General features: G+C 47.6%; 1 long non-coding RNA gene and 1 pseudogene across 1 annotated transcript in view, besides 2 other annotated features; one reads left to right on the top strand and one right to left on the bottom strand.

Moving 5' to 3' along the window:
• LOC105373611 (uncharacterized) overlaps positions 1-24,290 on the bottom strand; it is a 241,632-nt gene that overhangs the window by 105,260 nt on the left and 112,082 nt on the right. The window lies entirely within an intron of this gene.
• Positions 878-1,674: an enhancer, noted in NCBI's record as "NANOG-H3K27ac hESC enhancer chr2:129294875-129295671 (GRCh37/hg19 assembly coordinates)". NCBI's record gives its function as "activates a minimal SCP1, AML or CMV promoter by ChIP-STARR-seq in naive H9 embryonic stem cells {active_cell/tissue: H9 hESC(naive)}" and the evidence as "EXISTENCE:reporter gene assay evidence [ECO:0000049][PMID:30033119]".
• Positions 1,675-2,471: an enhancer, noted in NCBI's record as "NANOG-H3K27ac hESC enhancer chr2:129294078-129294874 (GRCh37/hg19 assembly coordinates)". NCBI's record gives its function as "activates a minimal SCP1, AML or CMV promoter by ChIP-STARR-seq in naive H9 embryonic stem cells {active_cell/tissue: H9 hESC(naive)}" and the evidence as "EXISTENCE:reporter gene assay evidence [ECO:0000049][PMID:30033119]".
• On the top strand, positions 19,718-21,686 carry ISCA1P6 (iron-sulfur cluster assembly 1 pseudogene 6; annotated as a pseudogene).

Below are 24,290 nucleotides of genomic sequence, written 5' to 3'. Positions count from 1 at the left end.
GTCTCCTGACCTTGTGATCCGCCCCCCTCGGCCTCCTGAAGTGCTGGGATTACAGGTGTGAGCCACCGCGCCCGGCCTCCTACTTTTCATATACATTCTGCTTATAGAATTGTTTTTCTTACATCTAATAGTTTTAATTATATATATAAACTACAATCTTAACTCTTGGCAACCGTAATTTCTGGTGAAAAACCAAGAAAGTAAGTAATTTTAATTGTTATGTATCAGGTACAGAGCCCAGGACAGAGGACAGAGCTGTGAAGACAATGCCTGCAGGACCTGATCCCTCCCAGCATGACTGGGAGGCAGAAGCCAGCAAGATGTGTTGGGCTTGGCTCTGCCCCACAGCTGGTGGCCTAGACACTGTGAACATCCATGAGACTTCAGTTCTCACCACGGCCACCTCCTAGACCGCAGAATCTAAAGGCTCAACACCAAAGATGTAAGCTCACAGTAAGATGTGCACAAGACTCCAAGGAAGCCCAGCCACCTGCCCTCACAGCTTTAGCTTACAGAAAAATCACACAAGCATCAAAAGTATCACAGAAGCAACAGTTTTATGACCTTAAAACATCTAGCAGAGACAGTATGTATTTGTTCGCCAGTAGACTTGGTCAAAAAAAATGTCTAAAATTCTGAAGACATTTCTATTTTGTTTTACCAACAATTTTTAAGCTAGCTTTATTTACCAAAGATTGCTAAAGTCATGTAAACTTGAAAGCATTTGGGCACGCAATTTGTGAGTACTCATGCACTTATAAGTCAATTTGGTACCACACAGACAACATACGCACAGACATGTACACATGTAAACATAAAAACAGAGATAGGCACAAAAATTTTACAGCTTGGACTTTAAAATTTTAGCCATGAGACAAGTAAAACTCACTAGTTTAAAAGGACACTTGGATTAAACTGTGCCTCTGTAAATGGAACAAATTAAAGTTTATCTGTCCCACATGGCTGAAGCCCTTACTGGTTTTGGAGAAAACAGGGTAGCAAATTAACATCTTGAAACACAGAGAAAGAATTTACATTTTCAAGAAGGGTTTTGGTTTTGTCAGAGAAAGATTAAGAAGAAATCCCACAGTAACACAAAACCATAGGAATTCACCACAGGATTGACAAGGAGCCCAATTTTATTTAGATAGGTAGCTTCTAATTTGGTCTTTGTTTTCCAACTGGGCCACTGAGCTCAGGGCAGAGCTCATTAATGAACAGAGCCCACAAAGCATTTGTAGCTTCCAGGGCCTAATACTTACAGATGTGAAAAGCAGGCCCAGCTGAAAGGCAGAGCATCTAGATCTTCAGAAATCAAGGATCCCACTTTTACATTGAATCCCATTTTCCGCAAATGAGGAAAACGTGATGGGACCAGGCCCTGCAACACTTTCTTAGAGCGCCTCACTACAAGACATTCGCCAGAGACTGCTGGGCAATCCAACAGCAACCAGCCCCCTCTGCCATCAGCCCAGCCCCCATGGGAATCCTATCCCTCGGTGGTGGGTGTTCCCACCACGTGCAAGTATCCAAACCACACTTTTCTTATCTAAACACACAAAGAAACGAGTCATCCCTGAAATAAATACACTCATTGCAACTGCTGCGGCCACCTCCAAAGCTGCAGCTCTCACATCTGACTCACCAGCCGTCACACACACAAAGGTCACCTTCCCTCTCACAGTACAATGGAACCCCTGGTGCCTACAAAGCCAAAGAGATCGGGTAACTCAATGCAAAAGAGAGCAGAGTTTCAGCCCTGAGAGGGGCATACCCGCTACTCTTGGGACTCCACAAGGAAAGTAAAAGGCCTCACAAAGGGGCTGTGGTGCCTTTTCCTGTGTTCCTCAAGAGGGCCCAGGGCTGTTGGAAGTCTCCTCTAGATTTCTTCACGTGGTATCTAACATGGCAAAAGGAAGGAGGAGCAGAAATGGAAGGAAAAACAAGTCCTAGAGGAGCGGAGCCAATTTGGGGAGATTTTAAGGTTTCTAAAAGACCAATGTTGGGAGGCGAAGACGGGCAAATCACCTAAGGTCAGGGGTTCAAGACCAGCCTGGCCAACATGGTGAAACCCTGTCTCTACTAAAAATACAAAAATTAACTGGGCATGGTGGTGGGCACCTGTAATCCCAGCTACTTGGGAGGCTGAGGCAGGAGAATCGCTGGAACCCGGGAGGTGGAGGTTGCAGTGAGCCAAGATCGTGCCACTGCCCTCCAGCCTGGGCGACAAGGGCGAGACTCTGTCTCAAAATAAATAAATAAAATAAAAAGCCAATGAAGTTTTACATTTTCGTCAGCAAAAATCATGCCAACAAGAAAGGAAGCAAACAGAGGGACCAGACATATTTGAAAAGCGGATTCTGTCAACTAAAAAACAATTCCCAGAAACAGTATCCAAAAGAGAAAAGGAAGACAGGAAAAAATTATAGTTTGAAAATCAGCTTTTAATTAAGCCTACTCTGACCATACAGCTCATTAAAAAATCCTTTCAAATCTCTTATTACCAGATTTCACTCAGGGCAATCAGAAAGTAGGCTTTCTATTCATTTGTCTGGTTCTAAAACCTGCATTTTCCCATTGTGTGTGCAAATATATTAATTTAGAAATTTCAAAAGACCCCCAATTTGGCCATTGCTACTTGGGATGATCTTGAGTTGTGTAAGTCCAAGGTGGAGCTCCACGGGTGTTATACACAAATACAGCGGGTATTTCCGAGGGCCGGGGGATGATCCTTAAGGGAAAGCTCAGCTTTGACAATCAGTTTCCCACCATTTTAGAAATTCCCTTTCAAAAGTGACCAAGGCTGGAACGATGTAGTAGGCTGAAGTGTGCTGCTCTGTGAGTGCCATTCCTCAAAGAGTCATCAGTGAGTCATGACTCATTCTTTTGTTTTTTGTTTTTGAGACAGAGTCTTGCTCTCTCTCCAGGCTGGAGTGCAGTGGTGCGATCTCAGCTCACTGCAACTTCTGCCTCCCGCGTTCAAGCAATTCTCCTGCCTCAGCCTCCTGAGCAGCTAGGACTATAGGCACATGCTACCATGCCCAACTAATTTTTTTGTATTTTTAGTAGAGATGGGGTCTCACCGTGTTAGCCAGGATGGATTCACTCTTTTACATGTCTCGGAATCTCTCATCACTTTTCGGCAGCAGAGCACTCAAGGTGCCAGGTGACCAGCCCTTATGTGCACCTTCTGGCTAAGCCAAAAATCCCTGCAGATATTTTTCTTGAAGGGAGGTCCTATAAGGCTGCTACGTATCATGGACGAACATTTCAACACCTCCATAAAGTCTCTAGTCACCTAGAGTCCCCAGTCGGTATGGAGGGAGGGAGTGTCTCTTAACTTTTGGGTGGGAGAACTCACTTACATGTTCTTTTCAGTTTAAAACCAGCAGGAATGGATTAAATTGAAATACAAGTCCAAATTACAAATAATAGGAAGCAGCTGCAATTTTTAAAGGGTGCTATGTAATTTTAGGCCAAAAAATAAAATGAAACAACTTACACTAGACTACCAATGCTGTAACCCAAATATTTTGCCATGAAGTAGAGGCAGAAAAGCCAGAAGTTCTCTGTAGAGCTCTTTAACCAAATCTCCTGTCCAGAGACAGAGATGAAAGCCCTCACTTTTAAAAGAAAGAGAGGATTTGAAAACAAAATCTAGACCTCAACTTAAAGGAAGTGAGGTCTGAATTCAAGAGGACTCACTCTTTGTACCCAGGGAAACCTCTGGAGTCGAAGGAACTCAATAGGTTCATCCTGGCACTGAGTGCCACATCCAAGAGAGCCCAGTGGCAAGGGAGCATCACTCTGAAATGTCAACCCAAAGGAAGAAACTGAGACAAAATTAATATGGGTAGAGGGTTCATTTGGGACAAGTTTGAGGACTGCAACCCAGGGGACATAGACTCAAGTTTCCCTGAATATATGCTCTGAGAGCAGCAGTTACAAGTGGGGTTTTAAAGGAAAAAAGACGGGGCAGGCAGTTCTTTAGTTGACCTAACCTATTGATTGGCTATGTGCTACTTTTTGTATCACAAATTCCAGGAACATGAAGATAATGGGCGAGGGCTACATTGTGCAACTGGTAACATTTTCGGTAATTTACCAGCCAGTCTGGAAACTGCAGGGAAGAAAACAAAGAAACTGTAATGACTTTAAACAATTAACCTTGGGCTTGGGTGCAGGGGTTGTGACTGAAATCTCATGCTCATGCCTCCTTGGGCCTGATCAGTTTTGCAGACCTTACATTCTTTTTTTTTTTTTCTTTTTGAGACTGAGTCTTGCTGTGTCACCCAGGCTGGAGTGTAGTGGCGTGATCTCGGCTCACTGCAACCTCCGCCTCCCGGGTTCAAGCGATTCTCCTTCCTCAGCCTCCTGAGTAGCTGGGATTACAGGCGTGTGCTATTGCACCCAGCTAATTTTTGTATTTTTAGTAGAGATGGGGTTTCACCATGTTGGCCAGGCTGGTCTTGAACTCCTGACCTCAGGTGATCCACCCACCTCAGCCTCCCTAAGTGCTGGGATTACAGGCGTGAGCCACCGCGCCCGGCAGACCTTACATTCTTTAGACTGCTCTGAGTCACTTTTCTTCATCAACAACAATAACTGGTGATAAAATAGAAAAGTCATAACAATCGACTGTGATGAAAGTTATGTGAATGTGCTCTCCTTCTCTCTCCCTCCAAATAGCTTCCTGCAGTATGCTAACCCTTCTTGTGATCATGTGAGATGATAAAACGCCTACATGATGAGATGAAGTGAGGTGAATGACATAGGCATTGTCACATAAATGGAAAATCCCAGAGGTAAACAATGTGTGAGTTTTAAGTTGCACAGCATTCTGAGTAGCGCCCAGGATGTGAATCCTCCCTATGCCCAGCACGTCCATGCTGCAGACACTGCCCACCCATTAAGTCACTTAGTAGCCATCTTGCTTATCAGATGGGCTGTTGTGGTATTTCAGTGCTTGCCTTCAAGTAATCCTTATTTTACTTAATAATAACCTAAAGCACCAGAGTAGCAGCAGAATATGTTCAGACCACGGTTGACCACTAGTAAATGAAACCTCAGACACAAAGCCATTGATAAGGGAAGGACTCCTATGCTAGGGAAACAGGGAGGGTGTGGATGAAAAAGAGTGCAGGTGTAAGAGAGATCAAATCCTCAACGTCCACCAGAGTAAGTCTACAGATAAAGCCTAAACTGATCAAATATGTGTGTGTATAACAGTATAAGAACATTATTGAGGAAGAGAGAGATGTGTAAATATTAGCAAAATAAAAGAAGCTGAAAGGTTATAAACGTAATTGCCTCTGGATTTAGGAAGTCTGGTGACAAGTTTAACATATCCTTTGTAGAAGCCAAGTAGAAACTGCCTCTTCACTCTCTGAAGGTTCACTGAAAAGCCACTGACAAATGGCATATTAATAGGAGAAAAGGCATACAAATATATTAACATGCATGGGAGTCACACAAAATACAAGAACTCAAAGAAACAGCCACATGGTTGATGCTGATGCTTTTATACCATCTTGAGGTTACAGAAAGAATGGGGGCTCCAACCATGGCCAAGAACAGGTAATGGAAGGGGGAGAAGAGGAGGCCTGGCTACCAGAGGTGGTCTTGTTGTGTAGATGAGAACTCACAGGCTGCAGCCCTCAGATAGAACAGATGCTAAATGTTTATTTAACACCTCTAAGGGGTGGCCTTTAAGGGTGTCAGACTCCTGGTTAACCATTCCTAGACAGGACAAAGGAAGACCTCAAATAAAGTCGGCTGCATCAGTGCAGGTTTTCTGCACAGATGCAAATCTCCCCCCAAAAGACAGCTTTGCAGGGCTACTTCTGTCTGCAGGCCCTCTGAATGGCCATCTCAAAATACACCAAAGAAATGTATCTTGGGGTGAAATATCTTGGTATCCTTCACTATACCCCTGTGAAACACCACCATCACAATCAAGATGATGAACACATCCATTGTCCCCAAAATCTTCCACATGCCCCTGGCTCTCACCCCCTCCCAGTCCCAAGGCAACCACTGAGATTTCTATCACTATAAATTCCTTTGCGTTTTCTACAACTGTATATAAATTAAAACATACAGCAATTATTCTTTTTATTCTGGTTTCTGTGGCACAGCAAAATTTTTTTAGTTATCTTTTTTTTGTAGTGAAAACATTTAACATCTACTCTCATAGCAAATTTCAAGTATGAAATGCAGCATTATCAACTTTAGTTACCATGCTATACATGAGACATCCAGAACTTATACATCCTGAATATCTGAAACTTTATACTCTTTGACTAGCATCTTCTGGTTCCCTCCATCCCCCAGTCCCTGAAAACAACCATTCTCCTCTCTGCCTCTATGAGTTTGACTTTCTTAGATTCCGCATTTAAGCGAATCATGCAGTGTTTGTCTTTCTGTGCCTGACTTATTTCACTTAATGTCCTCCTGGTTCATCCATGTTATTGCAAATGACAGAATTTCTTCTTTCTAAGGATAAATATTATTCCATTCTGTGTGTGTGTGTGTGTGTGTGTGTGTGTATGGGGGGGTGTGTAGGTACATAAATAAATAAAAAAATATATATATATCTCTTATATATGTAACATGTGCTTAGGCTGATTTCATATCTTGGCTATTGTGAAAATACCGCAGTGAACACAGGACTGAAGATATCTCTTTGAGAAACTAACTTTATTTTATTTGGCTATATACCCAGAAGTAGAATTGCTAGATCATATATTAGTTTCATTTTTAATTTTTTGAGGTACCTCCATATTATATCTCTTAGTGGCTGTGCCAATTTACATTCCCATCAACAGTGAACAAGGGTTCCCTTTTCTCCACATCCTCACCAATACTTGTTATCTTTGGAGGTTTTGTAGTTGTTGTAGTTAGCCATTCTAACCAGTGTGAGGTGATATTTCATTGAGGTTTTGATTTGCATTTCCCTGATGATTAGTGACATTGAGCCCCTTTTCAAGTACCTGTTGGCCATTTGTATGTATCCTTTGGAAAAAAATGTCAATTTAAGTCATTTGCCCATTTTCTTTGTTTGTTTGGTTTTGGTTTTGGTTTTGAAACAGTCTCACTCTGTTGCCCAGGCTGGAGTGCAGTGACGTGATCTCAGCTCACTGTAACCTCCGCCTTCCAGGTTCAAGCGGTTCTCAAGCCTCAGCCTCCCAAATAGCTGGAGGCTAATTTTTGTATTTTTAGTAGAAATGGGGTTTCCCCATGTTGACCAGGCTGGTCTCGAACTCCTGACCTGAAGTGATCTGCCAACCTCGACCTCCCAAAGTGCTGGGATTAGAGGTGTGAGCCACCACTCCCAGCACTTTGCCCATTTTTAATCAGACTGTCTTCTCATTATTGAGTGTTTGAGTTTGTACATATTTTTCATATTAACCCCTTATCGGATGTATGGTTTGTAAATATATCCTCCCATACTGTAGGTTGTCTCTTTACCCTGTTGATTTTTTTTCCTTTGCTGTACAGAAGCTTTTTAGTTTCTATAAAAAAAAAATAGACAATCCCATTTGTCTATTTTTGCTTCAGTTGCCTGTGCTTTGGGAGGTTGTATTCAAAATAACACTACCCAAACCAATGTCAAGAAGATTTTTTGTTTGCTTCTAGCAGTTTTATGGATTCAGGTCTTAAGTTTAAGTTTTCAATCCATTTTGAGTTGATTTTTGTACATAGGCTGAGACAAAGTTTCACTTTCATTGCTGTGTATGTGAATATCCAGTTTCCCCAACACCGTTTACTGAAGACACAATCCTTACACCACAGTGCATTCTTGGCATCGTTGTTGAAGATCAGTCTGTTATAAATGTATGGATTTACTCCTGCGCTCTCTATTCTGTTCTACTGGTCTCTATATCTGTTTTTACAGCACTACCACACTCCTTTGATTACTATTGCTCTGTAGTATACTTCTAAACCAGGAAGCATCATGCCTCCAGCTTCATTCTTCTTGCTCAAGATTGTCTTGGCGATTTTGGGTCTTTGATGGTTTCCTATGAATTTTAGATTTGGTTTTTCTATTTTTGTGAAAAATGCCACAGCACCCTCCAAAGTCAGCCCCACGGCCAACCTAAACCCCATCCACCCGGCCTCAGGAGGGCTTCCCAGGTATCCTTAGCCTTCCCATGCTCTCTTCTGTTCATGTAAGGACCATGCATGTTGGATAAGGCAGAGCACAGGAGTTATGACAGTGGGCCCTGGGTTCAAATCCTAGCTCTACCACTCCGGATTTGGAGCCTAAGGTAGGTTACTTAATCTCTCCGTGCCTCAATTTCCTCACTTGTAAAGTGGGGAGAAGACTCCTGGTAAGGCTGGATAAAGTTATCGTATGGACACTTGGAATGGTGGCCAACGGGTAGGACCCACTCCTGCAGGTGGGTTACTGTCAGCATTACCTCACACTCTTTTTCAAAGGGGCCCAGGAGAAATCAGAGTCCCTGGGGACCAGGGACCAGGCCTATAACAAATGTGCACACAACAGCTGCTCAATAAAAACAGTGGGTGGTGAGACAGGAAGAGAAGGGAACTAGTGAGTGCCCCATGCCCACCCTGTGCCAGGGTCAGGCACTGGACTTTGAGCTTTCCCCTGTGGATCCTGCATCCTCATCACCATCCAGGGTGGGTGTGACAACCATGGGACAGAAATGCAGCAGAAGCAGACAGGCTCAAGTCACACAGGCCCCGCAGGGTATGGACCCAAATCTGCCCACTCCCCACACTGGGCTGCCCCTCAGACCCCTGGCGGCCTGGGCACAGAGTCCTTGGAACCCGGGACAGCCTTCTGCAATGGGAGAGTCCTTGGGGACAAGGAAGCTTGACCCCTTCTCACCTCAGCACAGAACGCTTGCCTCCCTGTCCAGAACAGCCTAAGCTCAAAATGCTGCAAATGTTCCATTTGATTTTGTTTTTAATTCCTGCTAATTCCAATGGCAAACATTTGATAATTATCCTCAATAAAAGTTTAAATGTTCCAGTTAACCAATCATTGTGTAATTTATTTCACCAGGAAATAGAAGAACAAAGGGAAATTTGCCATGAGGAATTGCATAAATATACTTTCTTTTTCTTTTCTTTTTTTTTTTTTTATGACAGAGTTTTGCTCTTGTTGCCCAGGCTGGAGTGCAATGGCATGATCTTGGCTCACCACAACCTCTGCCTCCTGGGTTCAAGCGATTCTCCTGCCTCAGTCTCCCAAGTAGCTGGGATTATAGGCATGCACCACCACACCCGGCTAATTTTGTATTTAGTAGAGATGGGGTTTCTCCATGTTGGTCAGGCTGATCTTGAACTCCCGACCTCAGGTGATCCACCCGCCTCAGCCTCCCAAAGTACTGGGATTACAGGCATGAGCCGCCGCACCCGGCCACATAAATATACTTTCTAAATATATAGTTTTATTATCTCCAAATGTGCAGGACAAAGATCCAATTTAACCCCCCACCCCACACCCTGCCCCCTTTATTCTGGCAAAGCAATGATCTGCATTTTCCATACAATGATCAGCCCACAGCCTGGCACCCACTTCTAGCCATGGCAGCTCTGTGGTTGACCCATTTCTCATGAGAGGAGCCAGGGGGTTGAGTGCTCAGGACCACAAATGTGATGGGATGTTTTTTGCCTCCAAAGTGACTCATAAGAGCCCTGGACCCCAGAGGACGCAGGACAAGGCAGCGTCGTGGCGACCCCTGGTTGCCTGCAGTGCAGGCCCCCACTTCACTCCTTCATCTGCTCACTCACACTGGCTCACCCGTGCCTGTCAGCCAGCCCGGTCTGCTGACATATGCAATACTCCCATTTTGCAGATGATGAGGCCGAGTCTTAGAGGATATTCTGTGATTGATCTCTTTGGCATCCTCCTCACCGTTCTCATCCTCACCACTCCCTGAGGATCAGCATGTGCTGGGCACTAAGTGGGGGTCTAGGAAGGCTCTTTGGGCAGCATCACTGCCACTACTGTATATAGATGGGCGGGCTGCAGGTATGAAAGTGATGTATCCGGGCTCACCCTAGAAATGATCCAATGAGAATCCTGAACCCTAGCTGCCTTACCCCAAGCTCACTCTTCCCCTCCCACTGTCCTGCCAGGACCCAGGGCTGCAGGGCTCCTCAGCACCTCACTTGCAGAAGGCCTGTCCCCCGGACACGGAGAACAATGCTCTCCCCAGCCTTCTGGCCATATGTGACCCCAGTCTCCATGCAGCTGGGACGGCTTTCAGGCATAAAGCTGTAGAGGAGGCGCAATCAAGGACAAGCCCAGGCCTGGTGGTCAGGGAACGGGAGTTCCAAAGCTGCATCTGTTGCAGCCCAGCTGGGACCCTGGGAAGTTGCTTCCCTTCTCTGGGCGGGGGCTTCCCCATCCACAAAATGAATGATCTCTGCGGCCCCTTCTAGACCTTTCACTGTCTCAGAGCGTGCTCCTTCAGAAGCAGGCCCCAGGCGAGGATTCAAGTGGAGGTAGTTTATTTGAGAGGTGCAAGGATCCCAGCAGGAGGGAGGTAGAGGAAGACAGGAAAGAGAAGGCAGGAAAGATGGAGGACAGCGTGATCCCTGGAGTGCTGGAGCAGGCAGGCACCTGCCAGCAAGAGCTGACGGTGGAGGCATCTCCTCCCAGCTCCACCTTCAGTGACGTCACAAGAGTGGCTGAAATTGGCCTTGGTGGGAGTTTTTAGACCACAGCAGTCAGTGAACACTACAAGTCAGGTTCCTCCCCGCAGAGAGCCAGCTGATAACCATTTACCAGCTCAGGCAGCCTTCATTCCATAGGAAAACTCTGGGGAACATGCAGAACACACACCTCAGAGTCATCCCTGCCCAGAGAGGGAGCTGGCAGATTTGCACACAAACTCCTGAGTGTCCTTGGTTGAGGACAGCTTTGAGGAATGTTAATTTCCGGTATTCTTGTGGGTCCTACACAGAGGACAGAGCAGCCAGTGTGGCTCCAGGGCAAGTCCTCAGGTACTGGTGAACAAAAGCCCAACTGAGCACATGGGGTGGCCAAGGTCTGAGGGCTGCAGTGCAATCTGGGCACTCTGCTGCCCTCTTGGAATTCTTCATGGCCAGCCGGGTGGGGCGAGAGGATGAGGGGTCGGTGGGATTGTCCTGGGCACGGCCTAGAGCAGTGGGGTCGCTTTGCTAATCACCTGCTCTCCCAGGCAGAGCAGCACACGAACAAATTAGCAGAGAAGGCCAGCAAAGTGTTTTTTTTGGTTTTGTGTGTGTGTGCGTGTGTGTGTGTGTGTGTGTGTGTGTGTTTTGTTTTGAGACAGAGTCTCGCTCTTTTGCCCAGGCTGGAGTGCAGTGGCGAGATCTTGGCTCACTGCAAGCTCTGCCTCCCGGGTTCACGCCATTCTCCTGCCTCAGCCTCCCAAGTAGCTGGGACTACAGGCGCCCGTCACCACGCCTGGCTAATTTTTTGTATTTTTAGTACAGACAGGGTTTCACCGCGTTAGCCAGGATGGTCTCCATCTCCTGACCTCGTGATCTGCCTGCCTCGGCCTCCCAAAATGCTGGGATTACAGGAGTGAGCCACCGCGCCCGGCTGCAAAATTTTTAAAATCAGTTAAACCCTTAATCTTAGACAGCTTTCATCTCTATTTGGCCCATGAAAATGATGAAGAATTTAAGGGTTTTGCCGCTTTTCTTGATTTATATCGCATGCATTGTAGAGACAGTTGTTTTTTCATCTCCCACAAATTACATCATGTGTGAGCGTGACCCCTACTCTGCACCCAGGGTCTGAGCCTAACTTCAGGAAAGGGAGAATGGAGTCTGGGCAGAGGAGGAGCCACCAGTGAGGATGCATGGGGCTTGGGGCGGGTGTGAGGGGTGTCAAAACAGGTGGAGTGACTGAGCTATGCCTGTGTTGAGGCATAAGTGGAGAGCAGGCCTGGGAAGAGACACGGGAGATCAGGAGATGAGGCATCCAGCGAGGACATCGGGCAGGCCCAGGAATCATCTCCTCCCAGGATAAGCCTCTGAGCTCAGAGGCAGGGCCTAGCTCAGGGTGACAGGGGCTCTCCTGGTTCAGAGGTTTAGAGCAGACAGGAAAGCTCCTGGCATAGAGTGATTTCCAGAGATCGAATGAGCACAAACTCAGGGAGCTGCTCTCTGCCAAAGGAATGCTGCCCCACTGCCTCCTGTGCACATGTGCGTGGGTTTCCTGGCTGGGAAGCGGTGCAGCCTAGGGGCTTGGTGTGGGTCATGCTCCCAGGGAAGGATTTTCGCAGCAGAAGAGAGAAAGTGGTGGCATGAGTCAAAGCTCTGCTTCAAAGTCACTAATCCAAGCGCCACGCGTCCAAACAAGTCACGGAGTCAGGCTGGAGGCTGCACGTCGGAGCAGTGAGGTCCTGCCCTTGGAAGCCAAGTTTGGGGCTGTGAAACCACTCGTGAAGTAAAGCACAGAGGGTCAAGCACTCTCAGCATCCTGCGTTCTTCCATAAGCACACTTACAAAGGTAAGGGAAGACAGACTCTCGAGACATGAAGAGGAGCGGCCCCTCTGGTGAAGACACAGAGGACCTGAATGACAGGGGCAGCGTCCAGGCAAGGGAAGTGGTGCAAGGGCCCTGAGGCCAGTCAGGTGGCTGAAGGAAGCCAAGGAGCACTGCCTGGAGCAGGAGAACCAGAGGGAGGGTGGCAGGGGCAGGTCAGAGAAGCAGCAGCGCCGGAGAGAAGTCACGGGAAGACAGTGAGCCAGGAGGGCTGAGCCACGAGGGCAGCTCCAGGAGCTGAGGCCATCCAGGAGCAGGCAGGAGGCAGACAGCCCATGCAGCAGCCTCCTGTAGAGTCCCAGAGATGCCTGAGCCCAGGGCACAGATGCCACCCCAGGAGAAGAGGGGTCTGACCAGCAAGAGACAGGGTTCCCACATGAGCCATGGAACAGAAGGTACCACCTTACCTGCTCTTTCCCCAACAGAGAGCAGATGGGATCCCGGGGCTAGGGCGGAGGAGGGCGGGGTTGGGAGCCACAGAGCTGGTGTCACTGAAGACCTCCTGTCCCTCAGCCCTCCGCCCCAGCTCAGCTGCAAAAGTAGGCATGACTCAACCACCAGACAAGCTCAGGGCACCCCCAGAGCTGTGAGAACATTTCCTGTAGAGACCCCAGGAGGCAACAGAGAAGGCCTGAGTCAGCCTCCTCAGTGCCTTGTGCCTAGAGAAGCAACAGCATGGCCAGGTGCACACGTGTGGCCTCAGGGTCCCATGCAGAGAGGACACAGAGTATGTGTCAAGTGCCAGGCGCCACAGACCAAGGCAGGACCTGGATGTCCCATCAGATGCCAGTGGGAGACAGCAATCACCCAGCCTGGGCCAGACACACTTAGCAAGAGAGGCCCCCTGGCTCTCTCCTGCCAGCTCTGAAGCCCTGCCTCGGTTTCCCAGAGACACGGTTCTCCACAGCCTGGACTGAGCCAGGGGAGAAAAGTTTGGTGGTTGGGGTGGGAGGCAGTAAACTTAAACTGAAAATACTTGGGATAGAAGAGATTGACATCATTACATTTCAATTTTTTTTTTTGAGATAGGGTATCACTCTGTCACCCACACTGGAGTGCAGTGGCATGATCATGGCTCCCTGAGGCCTTGAACTCCTGGGCTCAAATAATCCTCCTGCCTCAGCCTCCTGTGTAGCTGGGACTACAAAGGGCTAGACACCATGCCTCGCTTATGTTTTGATTTTTTGTAAAGACAGGGTCTTGCTATGTTGCCTGGACTGATCTCAAACTTCTGGGCTCAAGTGATCCTCCTGCCTCAGCCTCCCTAAGTGCTGGGATTACAGATGTAAGCCACTATGCCCAGCCACATTTCAAACTTCAGAGCACTGAGGACAAACAGAAAATCCTATAAGCTTTCAGGAGAGACATAAAAATAAGTTGACCTGGGTTAGATGTAATAATCCAGGAATCACAATGCCAGAGAGTCTTGTTAGTAATTCTAAAATCTGTTTTAAAAAAACCTATATCTATACATATGGCAATATCTTCAAAATTCTATAGAAAAATCATTTTGATCAGAGAATTCTATACCGCTGTATAAGTTTGCCAGGGCTGCTGTAACAAAGTATTGCAGACTGGCTTAAACAGAGATTTATTTTCTCACAATTCTGGAGGATGGACATCTAAGATTGAGGTGTTGGCAGGTTTGCTTTCTCCTGAAGCCTCTCTCCTTGGCTTGTAGAGGGCCACCTTCTCCCTGTGTCCCCATGAGATCATCCCTCTATATGGCCTGTGTCCTGATCTTCTCTTCATATAAGGACACCAGTTAGACAAGATTAGGTCCCACCATAATAGCCTCATCTTACCTTAATTACCTCTTCAAAGTCCCCATCTCTAAATACAGTCACATTCGGAAGCACTGGGGTTAGGACTTCAACATGCAAGCTTGGGAGGCAGGGGGACACAATTCAGCTTATACCACCAGCCAAACAAGTCTGACGTTTTCAGACATGCAGGCCCTCGGATTGCCCTCCCGTTCACCCTTCCTTCCAGCCCTTCAGGAAATGAGCTTTTCCAAATCAAGGGCATGACATAATCAAGGCTGGCATCATCCTGCCAGGGCTGCAGGAAACAGAGGTCCAATGGGACGGAAAGCTGAGGACAGTCTCCAGTCCAGCAATGAAAGTAGACTCCATGATGGCTGAGCAGCAGGGCCAGAACGGCCAGGACAGCTGGGAGGTCACGGGCTCCCAGGGAGACTTTGCAGGAAAATGAAATGGATGGAACAGCTAATGTACTGGAACACCATGAGAGGAAATGTACACCAACAGGAAGGGGCACCGGCAATAGGAGAGGAGTTTGGGGATCAGTTAAGGACAAGGACAAAAAAGATAAATGTAAAATACAGATGATTATTCACTCTGGACAAAACAAAAACGTTATGCAAGAAAAAGAAAATGAAGTAAGTGAAAAATAGAAAGCAATCATCAACTGCAGGTAAAACAAAAAAGTTATGCAGGAATGGGCTTGGCTGTGAAAGGCCCTAACATAGTCACAAAGTCACAGTATAAACACTGGGTGTTAATCTTGTCAAGGATGATGGGACCACCCTCAACTCCAAAATAAAAAGCAGAGCTCAACTTACTGCCATCTCAAGCAAGGGAAAGCACTGCTGCTCAGGCAGCCTCCCAGAGGAAGCAGAGCTGGGAATGCAGGAATTAGTGGACCACCAGGCCGGGGATGATGCCATGACCCATCCCTTGAAGGTTATTGGGTGAAAGAGACTGTGGTTGATTGGCTGGCACTCCTGGGTTTAGTCAAGTAGTTCATTCCCTGATTGACTGAGTTTCAGTGAGGGGCTGACACTGATTGGTTGGCTACAAAACATGTTTCCTAAGGCTTTTGAAAGAGTTTTAAACCGGTTCTGCTGCTGCTTGTTGCCATGGCTATTGAATAATGGGTCTTTTCCTAGGAGTGTGGGAACGATAGTATTCTCAAGCGGCCCAGAATTAGGATGTAACTGTGTTGTTGACAAAGGGGGATTGGAAGTGTGGGGAATCTGTGTGTGGTATTGCCTACTTTCCCACCTTCCAGGGAGGGGAGTAAAAGGGAAACACCAGAAACTGGAAAGTCAAAGTTAGCCATGCAAGCATTTTACTTAGAGCTATGAACACACCATCAAAAGAACAGCTGAGGCTGGAGTCCTCCAGGGACCCAGAAACTGCAAGGTGGGACAAGGGACAGCCGCCTTGCCTAGCGAGTCCTGTGGGGCTTTTCCACACCTTCAATCTCATAGACATGTAACTTTGATAAAATATTTGTTTAGCTGAGTATGATTTTTTTTGAAGTTTTCACCTGTAAGTTATTAAAATGTTTTTGTAAAAAAAATAAGAGTCCCACCCCTCACACACTGCGGCAGGGAGGTAGATGTCTGCACTGGGTGCTCAGTCTCCGCGCTGGTGAACTCACAGAGGGCGCTCCCTCGCTCACCTCCCTCACTCACTGTAGCATCTGAGGAGGTGGAGAAGTTTCAGGTGCCAGCCCAGACACACCTCCCTGGGCTCACACTACGTACACCCTGTGCGGCTCCTCCAGCTGGAAGCTGGAGGGCAAACTTCTCCCCCAGCTCAATGAGGAGTCCCTAAATCAAGTTGAACAAAAACCAGGCACAAAACTAAAGTACAGAGATGAAAAGGTGATTGAAGAGGGCATCAATAAAAAACTGCTGCAAATCCATATTAAAAAAAAAAAACTCAAGAAAAATGAACAAAACACACAAACAGGCATTTCACAGAAGAAATACACATGAGAAAAGATGTCGTTCCTCATTAGTGATCAGAGAAAGGCAAATCAAGGCCCCAGTGAAATTCCATTTTACACTCATTTGGCAGAAACTGAAGGGTCTAAAGAGAGGTTGTGCTAGAGAGAGAGGATGCAGGTGTGGACCACAGCCGCTCTGCTGGTGGGAGGGCACACGGGTACAGCTACGTTGGAAAATAATTGGCGTATCAATGTGGACCAGTCACATACCCTAAGGCCCAGCAGCACCACCCCTAGATATATATCTGAGAGAAACTCTGGCACATGTGTACCAGCATGCGTGGACAACAATGTTCATGGCAGCATTCACAGAACAAAACTGTGGAGACACCCCAGGTACCACACAGAAGAGAATGCGGCTCATTCACAAGGCGGAATTCCACACTTCAGTCAGCACAACTGCACCAAAGGGACAGACGATGGTATGGGTGATCTGGGAAGCATCTTATTAGGGAAAAAGCTGCATTCCACGAGAACACACATAGCATTAAACCCCATTTAGGAGGAGCATCAAGCTGAGCTTTACACACAATGATAGACCTAGGATTCAAAGAAGTGTACTAAATAGTTCCTTAATCCAGGCATCATTCAATGACAACTTTTTCCCCCAGGAATCTAGAATAACTTCCTGTGCAAATGCTCCAAGCCCTTGGCAGAGGACCTCCTCTCCCTGGAGGCTGCACTGCTGCTTTCTGGTCTATTAGAAGCCATTAAATCCTGAGACACACACCCTCCCCTTCTCCCTCTGCAGCACTCCAGGGTCAGGGGGCACCAAGGGCCTGACCGTGGGCCTAATTGACACCACCCCTGGAGTCCTTACCCTGATCTCATCAGGAAGATCAAAAGTGGGAGCAGAGGGGGATGGACCCATAGCCAGGGCAGAAGGGATGTTCATGACTGTAGCTATCGTGTTGGCCAGATGTTGTGGACAATTGTGCAGAGCTGCAGGGGCCAGACCATGCTAGGGTGACGGAACTTCAGAGCTAAACCTGGGACAGGCGGGCTGAGATGCTTGTCACCCACATGGCCCTCCAAGGGCCCAACCCCGGAGGGCTTCACTGCATCACCATGGCCTGGATCTGATGTCTCTCCAGGCTCCTCAGGGACAGGCCATTGTCATCTTCAAGTATCAGCCAAGGGGACCTCAGAACTATTAGAGTTCTCCTTTGAGACCCCCCATTCTTATGAGCACCCCATCACCAGCAAGAGAGAATCTCTTCACTTCTAATGGAATTTGATTCCCAAAGGGAATTGTGGCCTTCTCTGTCCCATCAGTCAGGCTCTGAAGTTAATAAAAGGAGTCCCTAGACCTGCAGCCCTAGACACATTGAACACACATGGCAGCCTTCATGAAAGGCGCTTTGACCACAAGCTCTGTTGGACATAGACAGGCTGCCTGTGAAATGAAGGTCCTTTGCCCCCAGAGGAAGGTGGTTGCTTCCTGGGGAGGGGAGAGCCAGGAGAGAGGAGGGTCCTCTCTCCCTTCATGAGGCTGACTAGGGCTGGGCTGTATTCAGGTCCTTAAGGGGAAATGACCCTGTGGTCAGCGAGCAGCCCTGTCACTTGGGGACCTCAGAGCCCCAGCACTGTCACTGGCCTTGAGGCGTCAGGCACAACAGCTGTCAGGAAGGAGGAGGTGGCTGTGCCAGGTGCCTGTGGTCTTTCCAGTCATCCGGTCTCCGGCAGCCAGGTCCCCAGGCCTGGAGACGCCCACTTGCCTCCTGTTTGTCATCGCTGCTATTGCCGCTGTTTTTGTAGACAGTGCTATCCCCAGATTGACTCAGCACAGACCACAGGACGGGAGTTTCCCGTACACCATCCTTGACCCTCCCCTGTACCTGCCAGGCCAGTGTGCCCCTCCTCAGGTGACAGCTGAGGCTCAGAAGGAAATAACTTGCCTGTCTTCACCTGCAGAAGGACCCCACTCGTCTGACTCCAAAGCCTTTCCCAGGAACCCTGAAATGACACTTTGAAAGTACCTGCCTTTTCAAAGGGCCTATCCAGACCACTGGCAGTTCAGCATGGCCTGGGCTTAAAGGCCAGGCCCCTCCCGGGAGGAGTGTGGTCTCCATAAGGAGGACTCACAGGAAAAGGCCAGGGATGGGGAAGAAACTGAGGCTGCTGATGTAATCCTGTTGGGTGCCTGGCTGGGGCCGGAGTGTTGAAGTGTGCCTGGTGACTCAGCAAAGGCAGCTCTGCCCTGCCCTGTGTGCCCCAAGATGAAGTGGGCAGTGACTTAGGCCTGCCCCTCTCCCACCCAAAGCCCTTCTTCTGTCGAGATTTCAGGTATACCTGGCTGATCCCAGCTAGGTGTCAACTGGGCTGGTTCCTTCCAGCCTCTGCTTGGCGTGAAGATTCCATCTTCTCCTGTGTCCCGATGTCTGCACAGGTGGGGTAACTTCTAGAAACTTTCACTAACCCCACATCCTTGCCACAGCCCCTCAAGTTTCTCCACTTTTGTTTTCCAAAATCCCATTTCATTTCCTATGGGAAGAGCCAGGCCTTGGGGAGCTAGTTCTGCAATCTAGCTGTCTTTGTAAATCTGCTCCAAGGCCCTGGGAATGGAGGCTAATGTGCCCCAGGCTGACACTCTACCCTCAAGAGTGGGGCAGGGCTGGCATCCTCAGTCATCCCGGGAGAGTCACTGCCCCCCACCATGCCCTGCTCTGCTCTGTGCTCAGCCCTGGTCCAGGTGCTGAGATCTGGTGGCACACACAGGATGCTCACAAAGCATGTTAGAACAAGACTCAATGCAGTAAGGAGGAAGGGGACAGCCAGGGCCATGGGACATGCTGGGTAGAGGATGTGAACTCCAAGGCCTCACTGAGGGGTGGCTTGGAGACAAAGAAGTCTGTGAGGGAGCTGGCCATGTGGACACCAAGGAACTGGCATTCCCGCTGAGGAAACAGCAAGGACAGAGGCCCAGCCATGGGAGGACCTGGGTGTTTGAGGAGCATGACAGGCCTGGGGCCCAGGAGCAGGCTAGCGGCCAGAGTGGAGCAGGTGGGGCCTGTGGCTCCTGCCAGGGCTCTGTGGACCCCTGGAGGGGTCTGCACAGAAGCGGGATGTGGTTGGAGCAGAGAAGCATGGTGCTGCTGTGGTGAGGAAGGACTGGTGGGAGGCAAGGGGGGCTGGGGAACCTCCTAGGTGATGCACTGGCCAGCTCGGGACCCCGCAGCAAATGCCACCAGCTGACAGAGACTCCTGTCATTCTGTTCTGGAGCCTAAGAGCCAGAGAGCAAGGTGTCAGCTGGGCTGCTTCCTTCCAGGCCTCTCTGCTTGGTGTGGAGATGCCATCTTGTCCCGTATCCTCACATGGCCTTCCCTCTGGGTATCTGTGTCCTCATCTCTTCTTCTCAGAAGGACACCAGTCACCTTGGATAGGGGCCCCGCCCATGTGGTCTTGTTTACTTTAATCCCCTCTTTAAAGCCCCTATCTCCAATGCGCCCGCCGTGTCCATGGAGAGAGGCTGAGGCGGCCGACCTCCGGCCCGAGGCACCGGGGCATCGGGACGGCGAAGATGTCGGCTTCCTTAGTCCGGGCAACTGTCCAGGCTGTGAGCAAGAGGAAGCTGCAGCCCACCCGGGCAGCCCTCACCCTGACACCTTCAGCAGTAAACAAGATAAAACAACTTCTTAAAGATAAGCCTGAGCATGTAGGTGTAAAAGTTGGTGTCCGAACCAGGGGCTGTAATGGCCTTTCTTATACTCTAGAATATACAAAGACAAAAGGAGATTCTGAAGAAGAAGTTATTCAAGATGGAGTCAGAGTGCTCATCGAAAAGAAAGCACAGCTAACACTTTGAGGAACAGAAATGTGCTATGTTGAAGACAAATTATCCAGTGAGTTTGTGTTCAGTAACCCAAACATCAAAGGGACTTGTGGCTGTGGAGAAAGCTTTAATATTTGAAATCTCAGGACTCTTCTGGCCGTAGGTTCCAGGAAAGCTGGTGGAAGCTTTGGGGTTCAATGCAGAAATCATGTGACTGTCACGTGCTGGAAAATAAAGTGATACATCTTGAAAATGAAGCCAGTGTATTGGATTCTAGAAGAAATGATATTTATATTCTCTATAGGGGACAGAAAATGAGAAGCCATCACTCTCTTTGGATCATTTAGGTCTCTTGCATCCTTTATTTTAGAACCAGTTTCATTAAAGTTGCCTTCCTGGGCACTTGTTTATCCATTTCCTCAACTGTGTGCACTCCTTAGATCGCTATTGAATGGCTTGAACATCCCTCAGCATTTCTCCCAACCAGATCGGCGACGCCTAAAATCCAAGACAGGACATCCTGACTGCTGGTAGTAATGTGGCGGTGCATTGTTTTTCCACCCAAACTTAACACAGCCTTTTTATACATTTTTATGAAAAATTTCATTTTCAGCTGCCTCACTGCATACCCTTTAATAATACCAGGCAAAGATTTTCTTCAACTATAGTACAGATTAGTTCTGAGTGATGGTATCAAAAGGTGAGAAAGACGTCATCCACCTTTTTTTTAATCCATTTCTTTTGCCACCCTATATGTCTGTTCAGAGATGGGATCTCAAGCTGACTTTGATTCTTTTAGTTGAGGAGTCTCTTAAAGCCATCTAGCCCACCTCCCTCAATTCCCTATGTGAGGAAGCAAAACCCCAGGGAAGCCAAAGGGCTCCTCTCTACCCTGACTCCACAGGCCGGGGGAGAGTAGGGACTCTACCCCCCTCTCCCCTTCCTTGTAGGTGACACATGTTCTGCCCTCTGAGGCAGTCAGTGAAGGCAAATGGTCTGACTTCTTTATGTGGTCAACATTTTGATAGAATTTCTTTATAATTTGATAGAGATTATATTATTTTTATTTTATTTTGAGTGGGAAGAATTTTAAAACCTTTATATGTGAATTACCATCTTGTTTCTTTCACCTTTGAAACAATGGTTTGTAGCAGAGACGACATTGTAGCAACCCAGATATGCTTTTGGAATGTGGTCCTCACTGTACAGGAGAATGTGGGGATCTTTTGTTAAAATTCCCAGTGTGCATACACTTTCTGGTTCCTTGGTCCAGTTGCTAAAGTTCTTAGTATTTTAGCCTAACATATTTATCACCAACTTTTCCTTAAAAGTGTTCCTTTTGTCACTTAGTTACTGATTTTCCTGGGTTTGACATAATAAGTATTCTATGAGATGATATATATGCTTTTTCTGAAAGCTAATTCTCATGAATTCAAGTAGCTGAGTTCCTTTATGTTTCGTTTATTCACTAAAGTAGCTGGCACAAAACACACCAAAACCTAGAGTGGTAGTTTTATGTAAATGCTCATGAGTTTGTATCAATAATATAATTGTTGATCCACTTATAATTCGTGCAGTACTGTATGTATGTAGAGATTGAGTTGTCAATTAAAAAAAATGTGGCCTCTTTGTGATCACACACAAAAAAAAGCCCCTATCTCCAAATACAGTCACATTCTGAGGTCCTGGGGTGCAGACTTCACCATATGAATGTTTGGAGGGGAATCACAATTCATCCCACTACAGTGACAATGACAGGAATCCCGGGGAGGCATCGTGGGGGCTGGGGCCATCGCGGCAGCAGGGAAGATGGTGAGAAGGGGTCAGATCCCACAGGCAGGCACCGAGGGAGGGTGCAGAGACGGCCTGCCTAGGTGAAGGCGGTAAGGGGTACACATCCCACAGTGAATTTAACACCACCAATGACACTGATGAAAAGTTGATGGCTTCATAACATCACCATGTGCAGACAATAATATATTCATTGATAAAATACTACTCCTGCAAAAACTGTTCTGTTTATCTTATTTCTACCACTGCTGCAGTCACTGTTGAGTTCTAATAACACGTGTGTGAACCTCAAGCTTGTACCTCTGTCACTTTTCCTCTCGTCAGCATTGTGTTCTACATACACATTAATTCAGAGGGCTCCCAGCTGCTCGGGTGGTCCCACATGGGCACCAGCTCTCATCGAAGTTCACGGGTTTCAGAATCACACCAGCCACCATGGGCCAAATCAGGTGTCCAACCCCTTCAAGTAAACGGGACATTTACAATAAACATTAACAGCACAATTATGAAGACAAGGGAAGGCCGGACACGGTGGTTCATGACTATAATCTCAACGCTTTGGGAGGCTGAGGTGGGAATTCAGCCTGGGCAATACAGTAAGACATCATCTCTGCAAAAATAAAAATAAAAATTATCCAGGTATGGTAGCGGAGGCTGAGGTAGAAGAATCACTTGAGCCTAGGAATTTGAGGCTGCAGTGAGCTATGACTGCACCACTGCACTCCAGCCTGGACAACAGAGGAAGACCCTGTCTCAAAAAAAAAAAAAAAACCGAAAACAAAATAAAGACGAGGAAACAGAACATCAGTTACTTCAACTCTGTCAGTCTATGGGACCACTTGGGATGTTTATTTGTGTTTAAAATATGTAAAGTGATAAAACTGTGAACTTCAAGGTATAACATTTTTTGTTTGACAAATATACATATTAGTTCATACATGAAATATTACTGATTTTAAATACTATCTTTAAAAATGAAAATGCCGGGCGCGGTGGCTCACGCCTGTAATCCCAGCACTTTGGGAGGCGGAGGCAGGCGGATCACGAGGTCAAAAGATTGAGACTATCCTGGCCAACATGGTGAAACCCCGTCTCTACTAAAAATACAAAAATTAGCCAGGTGTGGTGGCAGGCACCTGTAGTCCCAGCTACCTGGGAGGCAGAGGCAGGAGAATTGCTTGAACCCGGGAGGCGGAGGTTGCAGTGAGCCAAGATCGCGCCACTGCACTCCAGCCTGGGCAACAAGAGTGAAACTCCATCTCAAAGAAAAAAAAAAAAAGTATTCACTTTTATCATGCCATGATTATACATACAAAGTTCAATTTAAGACACTTTACACTCTGCATTTTTTTTTCTGGACATGATTATAAGTTTTATCTCTTGACTATGACTGATAATAATTCTGCCATACAGAAGAGGGATGTCTTGGTCAGTTTAGGCTGCTGTAACAAAGTACCATAGACTGGATGGCTTAAACAGCAAACACTCCCTCCTTGTGCTCTGGAAGCCAGAAGTCCGAGATGAAGGTGGCAGCGTGGTCGGGGTCCTCACCTGACCTTTCCTTGCTTCATGCAGAAAGAAGAGAGAGAAATCTGGTATCTCTTCTTGTTTTAAAAGGCAGGAATCCCACAGCGGGGCTCCTCCCTCGTGACCTAATCTCACCCAGAGGCCCCACTCCTAATGCCAACAACTTGGGGCTTAGGGTTATTCAACACATGAATTTCGGGAGGATACAAGCCTTCAGTCCATGGCACAGGGGTTGTTAGAAAAAGTTATAACCGGCCGGGAGCGTCGGCTCACACCTGTAATCCCAACACTTTGGGAGGCGGAAGCGGGCAAATCACGAGGTCAGGAGTTCGAGACCAGCCTGGCCAACACGGTGAAACCCTGTCTCTACTAAAAATACAAAAATTAGCTGGGTGTTGTGGTGGGTGCCTGTAATCCCAGCTACTCGGGATGCTGAGGCAGGCGACTCACTTGAATGAGGGAGACGAGGCTGCAGTGAGCCAAGATCTCACCACTGCACTCCAGCCTGGCAACAGAGCAAGACTCCATCTCACAAAAAAGAAAAAGAAAAAGTTATAACCTCTGGGTGTCAAATGTGCTTAGAAGGCCCCTGGGACTCAGGGTATGTTTGAAAGGTGGAACCAGCAGGTGAAAACTGACTACAAGTGTGAGGACGGGGTATGTTGGGGTGCCTGGGCTGGCACCGGCTGTGGGAGGAGCAGACGTGGCTGGGCATGGGCAGGGAGCAGGAGTCAGGTGTTCAGGAATGTTCCATTTGTGATACCTGCTGGACATCCCTGCTGAGCTCTCAAGTGGACAGTCAGGTAACCAGGCCGAGGGCCCAGGGAGAGGTCGAGGCTGAAGGGCAGAACCTGGGAAGCATCGATAATTACGTGGACTGGAATACAAGGAGACTGACTGCCTGGCGGCACCTCAAACAAATA

The sequence above is a fragment of the Homo sapiens genome, chromosome 2 (assembly GCF_000001405.40).
Source record: "Homo sapiens chromosome 2, GRCh38.p14 Primary Assembly".
Taxonomy (NCBI): domain Eukaryota; kingdom Metazoa; phylum Chordata; class Mammalia; order Primates; family Hominidae; genus Homo; species Homo sapiens.
This window is presented reverse-complemented; position numbering and strand designations above follow the sequence as displayed.